This window comes from Homo sapiens, chromosome 2 (genome assembly GCF_000001405.40).
Source record: "Homo sapiens chromosome 2, GRCh38.p14 Primary Assembly".
Classification (NCBI taxonomy): Eukaryota; Metazoa; Chordata; class Mammalia; order Primates; family Hominidae; genus Homo; species Homo sapiens.
Window position 1 is genome coordinate 81,412,360 of NC_000002.12, and position 8,783 is coordinate 81,421,142.

The 8,783-nt window shown below is 37.8% G+C and overlaps 1 pseudogene; it reads right to left on the reverse strand.

Moving 5' to 3' along the window:
- Positions 1-6,055: 6,055 nt before the first annotated feature.
- CHMP4AP1 (CHMP4A pseudogene 1) lies at positions 6,056-6,991 on the reverse strand (annotated as a pseudogene).

Consider the following 8,783-nt stretch of genomic DNA (forward strand, 5'->3'; position numbering starts at 1 on the left):
GCAAATAGAGAATCCAGATTGTAACCTTCATCCAAGATGGTCTGTTGTTAGAATGATCTGGCACGTAGCAAGGGCGGGCGTGGCATTATCGGTGAGAGAGTAGGTCAGAGGTGTTATTTAATTCATTTGGTAGAACAACTATTTACCCCATCATTTTACATCTGTTATGGAATGGCAGAGTGATATATCTACAGCAATTACTCCTCAAATTGATACCTCACCAAGAACAGGATACAATCTGAGCACTCTGTTTTGTCAGTACATGGCACAGCCCTTCAGGATCTGACCCCAACTTACCTCCCTAACAATGCCTCCTAATAAGTTTCCTTTTTTATACTGTTACTATGGTGAAATCCTCGGTGAATTATTTTTGAATGGATACCAATTAATACATTATCCATTATGCATTATGTCACACCATTCCTACTCGTGATAGCCGAATTGTTTCAATCCTTCATGGTTTTACACAGCTTCTTCCCTCTTCCTAAGATTCCCTTCCCCTATCTGGGGAATCATAGTCCACCATCCACACAATCACTGCATATCACTCACACAGTCAAGCTTTCACTTCAATAACTTCAACAGACTTTGACCTCTGTTTAGTGAATCACTCTTTCCTTTATACAAATGCTGTGACTAATACATACTTCTTATCATAATTTATTTCAATTGCTCATTTAAAAATGTTCTCCCACTAGATTGTGAGCAGATTAGTACCAATGACTTTGTGATGCTTCAGTATTTAGGACAGTATGTGAAACACAAAAGTTAATAAATATGCATTAGTAACAAGAGAGTGTGGAGTTGAACATCAGGGAAAAGGTGGGTTTGAAGAGAGAGTGAGTGTCCTATGGGCAATTCTGAAAGAAAGATGATGTCTTAGGCAATCCTTGCATCACTATAAATACCTGGCTAGGTAATTTATAAAGAAAAGATGTTTAATTGGCTCACAGTTCTGCATGCTGTACGGAAAGCTTGGTGTTGGCATCTGCTTGGCTTCTGATGCAACCTCAGGAATCTTACCACCATGGCAGAAGGCAAAGGGAGAGCACGCATAACACATGGTGAGAGTGGGAGTAAGAGAGAGAAGGGGGAGGTGACATATGCTTTTATACAACCAGGTATCATGAGAACTCACTCACTATAGTGAGCACAGCACCAAGGTATTCATGAGGAACCCATCCCCATGACCCAAACGTCTCCCACCAGGCCCCACCTCCAATACTGGGGGTCACATTTCAACATGAGATTTGGAGGGGACACATGTCCAAACCATATCACATGGGAAAGTAAAAATGAGGCTGCTGAACTTGGAAGATGATGATGGATCTGCCTTTATAGACTCCTTCAGAGAGTAGAAAATCGTATGAATATAAAGGTCAGAGGAAACAAGACTGTAGAAAACTTTAAAAACTGTATGATGGAGATTAGATGAAATGTTAATAATAACGAGAGTTCTGATGATTTAAATGTCTCTCATTCCATTTTTGGAAAACATTGGTTTAAGAGGTGAAATTACTCAAAAATATTCCATTATACTAAAATGTTTACCACTTTTTACTACAACCATATGTTAAAAGTATTTTCTTTATTCACTTAACTGAGCTTTTAATGGATTAAATTGTTCAAAACATCACTATTATGCTTTGGGGCCTTTTAGTCATCACATAATTGCTATGTACTCTTTTCCAGCTGTATATTAACATAAAAATGCAAGCATTATTTTTGCAAATATTGCATACCAAAGCTGAAATTTTGTTTGATAATAGAAAAAATTAAGACAAAAATGCTTTAGAGTGCTCTATAGTTCACATGATTTGATAGCTATGTACACTTTTTTTTAATTTGAAGACCTCAATTTAATCCTAAATATTAGGTATGGTTTAAGACATTTGCTAATTAAAGAAGTAAAATCTAACATTTAAATGAAATAAATTGATATGAAAAATCAAGTTATAGCTTGACAAGTTTACTTCAGTTATCACTGCGTGCATCACTTAGTTCTTTTAAAGCATTTACACATTCCCCATGGTACTGCAATTCTAGGACTAGAAACAGGCATATGCTCAATGGGGCACCACTTGGAACTTCTAAAGATGCTACACCAAGTACCCTTTTCAGGTTTACATAGGCTCCTAATTTTTCATTATGTTTCATCTCAGTTCACATATACTCTGCTTGCTTTCTTCTCATATAGTAGATACTATCACATCTTCAGTTTCCTCTCTGCCTCTGAGTAAAACAAATTCCAGGGGCAGACTTAAAGGTAACCCCCTCAGTTACCAATTTTCTTGATGGTCTCAAACATTGACAGTTTCTACTTAAGGACTTTAAATTTACACCCCTGAGGGAAAAACCAAAGGAGGGAGGAGTAAGCAAATTATAGATAATCAGAAATAATTCTGCATATTTTTTGTGTGGCAGTGAGTTTACATGCTTGTGCAATCTCCACCCCAACCCCATGGGACAGGTCCTTTTTAAATTCTGGTTTTTCAAAGGAAACAAATGAGTTTTGGCCAAGTAACATGCTCAGAGATGCACAGAAATAGTGAAACAGACATTAAAACCTAGGTTGTCTGATATCAGAACCCCAAGTCTTAACTTCTACATTACAATGCATCAATGAATAATTAAACATTAAAAAAATCTTACCTACCTCTTAAAGATATGCTTTATAGCTTCCGAGGTGGTAAATCTGGTGCATAAACCATAGTATTCCTTTGATATTGCCTTTGATTATCTCAAATCCTGAAGATGAAAGTTACATAAAATAACAGATTTACCCTGTGCTTTGAGGTTTCAAAGTGTGATAACATTTCTCTTAGTTTCTCTCATATTTCTACTCTCCAGGAAATATTGTTTATACTTTTGCCTTTAAAAGTATGAAGGCAATTCCATCCCCATTCCACCCTGCCAAGAATGGTCAGTGAAACTGGGAAGACACTATTGGATATTGATATTTAAGATTTCTTGGTCACCACATAGCAGATGAAAGGCATTGTCATCTCATTTGTTAATCAAATGGATGACAAATTTGCTCAGGCCCCTTGATATTAAGATATCTTAAAAGCCGAGCATTGGCAGGAACTGTTTTTCCAATAATTGAGAAAGATCTGCTTAAGCCAATCTTAGATCGTCTACACTCCAGTGCACTTTGTAATCAAATAGAGTTAGTTTAAAAATTGATTTACTCTTTTTATTCCAATAACAGGTATTAGAGATCCCCCCTGTAGTCTCTCCAATAGATATCAACTCCTATATTCTTCATTACTGAATGAGATATTCACAACTGCTGTACCAGTCAGGAAAGCAGAATTATGCTGCAGTAATAAACTATCCCCATTTTTTGTGCATGGTTTATTCAAGAATATATTCATTTTAGGTACAGCCAAAGGAAGAAGAGCCTTGAATAATTACAGGTAGAGGAAATAAACCAAAAATGTAAAAATTAAAAATGGGTATGAATGACAAAGAGATCCAAAAAAACTGTATCACTGGATCAGTAACCTTTGTTGACATTTAAAATTTTAATTTTGGAGAATCTTAGCTATGGGAGGTTAAGGAAGGGAATTTGAGATAGAGAGTTCTCCTTAGACATGGAGATAAATGTAGCTAGATGTCACAGCTAGAGAGTAATTAATTGCCTAATGCTACCAAGAAGAACTCAGAGAAACAAGGAATAAGTATGGGACTGGGATGAAATGATGGTGAATGACTTCTTGGAAGGGGTAAAAATTCAAATGGAATTTAAGTTTGGTGAAATTATAAAGTAATTAATTGAAAAGAGGAAAAGCACTACAGGTCCATACAATAAATAAAGGCCCAGGAGCCATATGAGAATAAGTCCATAAAATAAATAAAGGCTGGGAGCCATATAAGAATAAGCCACACAGGTAAGGATAAAGTTAAACTAGACTGAGAAGAAGACTGCTGACTTCCAGCCTGTGCTGGCTGGGTGCATTACTTTCAATTGGTCATTTAAATTATTTTCTAACCTGAAGAATGAAAGTGTTAAATTTTGACCTCTTTAACTCTACAATAGAATGACTTTTTTCTTTGTATTTTATGTCTTCAGAACCTCACGTTTCTTCTGAGCAAGTTGCTTCTCATTTTTAGACTGCTATAATCTGATGGTGTCTGAAAATGTCTAAATGCAGAGATGTAAAATGTGTCATTTAGCTGATTCCAAATACAGATAATTATTTGTTAATTTTTTTCTATATTTATGTTCATTTTTTTTTGAGAACTGTGTTCTTATTTAGGTATGTGTTAAAAGCCAGAGACCACAGTAACTATGAAGAATTTTAGGTATAAAATACCCAACGAGAACCACTTCCAGTGTTACCCTGGCTAGCCACAAATAGCTCTAGGGTAGACAAAGAAACAAATTTCAGTCTATTTCAAGAAAGTGCAGAAGATTCTAATAAGCAGATTCTAACAGTAATGTGTGAGATATATATGTGTGTATATGTGTGATATATACATATATATGTGTGAGATAATGTGTGTGTATATATATACACACACACATACACACACATATTTATGTATAACATACATAAATATATAGAATTAGAGAAAGTTGTGTTATAATTAGTGTATATTTGGACAGCAGACTTAAAAATTTCTAAAAGCATTGCAAATAAGTAATCTGCCATCAGTTATCCCAGGCTAAGTATACGGACTACAGTGGCAAATAATTTGGGAAGAATGATAGAGTGAGATTGTATTCCTAGACTAGTTATTCATCAGTGGACAAAAACCAAAGCTGACCAATAAGTTTGATTGTCCTGCTTCTACATTTAAGCAGTTGGGGCTCAGAAAGTGATACCCTTATAACTGGCATTTTGACATGTTGAGAGGCCTTGGAAGCTGCCTCAGAATCAAGGTCCTACAGACTTCTCTTGTTCTCCTGATAGAGAGGGACTCTCTCTGGAATTTTCTTATCTGATCAAGAAAGATTCTTTCCAAAATAAATGCAATTGCCTTAAATCACCTCCCTTAGGATCTTATTGAATAATCAGGAAAGATCAACCATAGAAGAAAAGAGACTGGGAGTCACCGCTATGCCAGAAAGACTTTTCATCTATTCTAAGGGAAGCTCCAAAAGATTACCTGAGGAACTTTGTATAATAAGTCAAGCTTTGTTTTTGTGCAGCTCTACCTCTTGCCATGAAATTTGCCTTCCACCTCCCAGGTCCATGGATCTCTCTCCTATGAGGAGAATATTTAAACATCAAACATCTGGTTCCTCTTTGACTTAATATTTTGCATGACCCCCCTATGCATACGGGTGCACATTAATAAACTTTGTATACCTATCTATTGATCTACCTTTTGTTAGCAAACCTTCAGAAAGTAAAAAAAAGTTTCCCTTTGCCCATATAAAGCCTGAAGTGAAATATTGGATCTGGCCTCTTTCTATGATGATAGATACATGAGACTATGAATAGACTCAATCAGGACACCTAGTGCCTCTAGTACCTCCCTTAATGTCTAGGTGAAACTGTCCTAGACATACTTCCTTCTATCTTTTTTCCTCTCTTTTTAAAGACAGGGATAGGGAGGAGTGAGTTCACCAGGTCTTCCTCTAGGTATGCATTTTGCCTTTCTTAGTGTCTGCCAATTTGAACAATTGTGTCTGTTGTAGGTTGATGTTGATATAATAATTATCTACTTCTTATGTATCACATTTTTCTATCTTTTTGCATGCCTAGCATTCTTTTAATGTCAGAAATTTGAAATTTTATGTCTTTGGTTGATGGATATTTTTATATTCCTATAAATATCATTGTGGTTTGTTTTGGGATATAGTTATTTGGAAGACATTTGATCCTTTTGAGTTTTTTTTTTTAGATCCATTACTAGCTGTGTTATTACTTAGAAAGCTTCTGATTAGTTTCTTCAGTATCCCAAGGAATATAAAGTTTGCAATTCTGGGTGATGGGCACCATATGTGAGTATTGGATACTATTCCCTCTATCTTTCCTGGTGGCTCTTTCCAAGGTCTCAGGTATTTTCTTTTATGCATATGTTTATATTGCAACTGCTTTTAAATAGAAAGGAGCTCAGGTCCTCCTCCTACAGCAAGTTTCCTCTTCAGAATTGAGCCAGGGCTAAAAAGGCAACAGACCCTTTTCTCTGGGAGGGTCATACTACCAGCCTCAGCAGGATTTCCTCCAAAAGTTATACTCCTTTTGTTCAGCACTTGGCACTTAAGGAAAAGGGAACAACAAGACCAGCCCAGACTTATCGGGATTCCCACGCAGCCACTCCTTTTGTGCTTCTTTGTCTTCATCTGCTTTGGGAGCCGACCCTCCCAGGAAGGCAGATAGTGTGGAGGATACACTAGCCATTTGACTGGGGTTCACTTCCTCCTTGTTGCCCCACATTTAACAATTCTTGGGCCAATTCCTCCTCCAGCTTCTCTAGTTCCTCCAACAGTTCATGATCACCCACATCTTCTTCAAAACCCACAGGTCAAGAAATGGCATCTGAGATCTGCTGGGCCACCTCCTGCTATTCTGTGATGTCATCCATCAGTTCATCTACCTTGCCAATGTCCAGGTCCTGGTAGGCAGCTAACCATGCCTCAGGCAGCTAACTACAAAGTACAAAACATTTTTGCATTGGTAGTGGCATTCTCAATGACTTCATGCTGAAACTCTAGGGTGGATGATGTTCTATCAGTTTGTGCCAGCTGCTGTTCCCATCTTTTTTTCCCCTGTAAAGCCTGCAGAGCAGCTCTCTTATTCTTGGAACCATGGTTCTTTGAAAGTCTGTTCTCAATGCTGCTAATGAACAATTCATGTTGAATTGTCTGCTCCAGAAACTCCTGTTTCTTGATTACCATCTCCTCTGTCTCCTTCAATTTCTATATTGTTTCTTCAGGGGTTTCACTCCTCTTCTGCTCCTTCCTCAAGAGTTTTCTGGGACGACTCATGGCAAGCTTGCCTCTCTAGCCTCTGCTTCTGGGCATCCTCCACAGTTCTGCCTTGTGTTGATCATTATTCTGCCCAATACTCAAGAAGGACCCTCTGCAGGTCTATGGACTTCTCGCTCTGAATATCACTAGAATTATCTCTCCATGCTCCTCTTTCTGTTACAAAGTCTATCCTCCTTCGTCTCGCTGGATTCCACTTCCATATTCTCGACTCAGAGAGTCTCCCAGACTCTTTTTAGATTCTGTTTTCTTGCGCTGTGTCCTGGAAACTCTCTTAAGGCAATGCACTTGGACAATTTTAGGGCTTTCTCTTTTATTTCCCATATCTCAGGGAACACTGTTCTTTGTTTCCTGATATATCTTGTTTTGAAGATTGTTGTTTCATATCATTTCCCCCCCGATTTTGAGTTTGCTTCACATGTAAAGTTTCTGCTACACCATCTTGGCCAGAAGCTTCCCTTATGCTTTACAGGTAGATATAATTTCTACTATTCCCTCCAGGATAGAATATTGCTTCTGATTTACCATCTGACTGGCAACGAAGAGAGGCAGTTACACAGCTTCCATTTCTACAGCAGCTGTTATACAGGACAGTGACCAATTTTTGAGTTCTACCAAATTTTTTATAGTTCATTTTCAATATACTTTTGTGTACATGGAAAAATAACTGCCAGTTAAGTTTGTGGATAGAGAAGACACACTGAGGGCCACAGCATGTGTCACAACTTCGTTTATTATCTGTTCCCTTATGTTTTTCCCATTAGAGAGCCTAATGATTATTTTGGACCCTGAATAGAGTATCAGCCTAATTTCTGTGTCCAGTCATCCTCAAAATGTTTGTGTATTTATGTTTCCTGGTATGCCCTTCCCTAAGTAAGTGGCAATTGTATTATTCTGTTCTCAATACTGCTAATAAAGATATACCCAAGACTGGGTAATTTATAACGGAGAGAGGTTTAATGGGCTCACAGTTCCACATGGCTGAGGAGGCTTTGCAATCATGGCAGAAGGCAAATGAAGAGCAAAGTCACATCTTACATGGCAGCAGGCAAGAGAGCTTGGGAAGGTGAACTCCCATTTATAAAACCATCAGAGCTCATGAGACTTATTCACTGCCACAAGAACAGTATGGGGGAAATCGCCACCCCCCCACCCCCCCGCCCATGATTCAATTATCTCCACCTGCTCCCACCCTTGAAACATGGCGGTTATTACAATTCAAGGTGAGATTTGGGTGGAGACACAGTCAAATCATATCAGCAATAGATCCATTTGAGGAAGTACTATGGGAATTATTGTAACATCATTCCCCCCAAATACTCATTGTCTACCGTAGTCAATTGGTACTGGATCTGAAAAACTGTCCCTAAACAGAAATTAATTCAGAAATTGTGACTTGTTTGCGTATGGTTGCCTTTAGCCCCTGAATAACTATATTTGACTTCTTTGATTCTATCCACCTCATCCCTACCTTGGTGTTTCTCAACCTCAGATACATGGATATTATTGTTTGCATATTTCTTTCTTGTGGGGGCTATTCTGTGTATTGTGTGATGCTTAGCAGCAACTTTGGCCTCTACTATTCTGATGCCAGCAGCATCATTCTGCCAAAGTGACAGCCAGCAATATTCCTAGACCTTGTGCAATTTAGAAAACTTTTTCCTGGTTGAGAACCACTTTCTAGGAACTTTAAGTATTTTTAAGCATCTTTATAGGCCTCTCAAATATTTATCAGATTATATCAGATCTTCTCCAGTTACCTCTCAAATAATCCTAATTATTATGATCAGTCAGCCTTCTGTCTACCACTTGTTTCCTGTTTTTCACAGTCATCTTTATT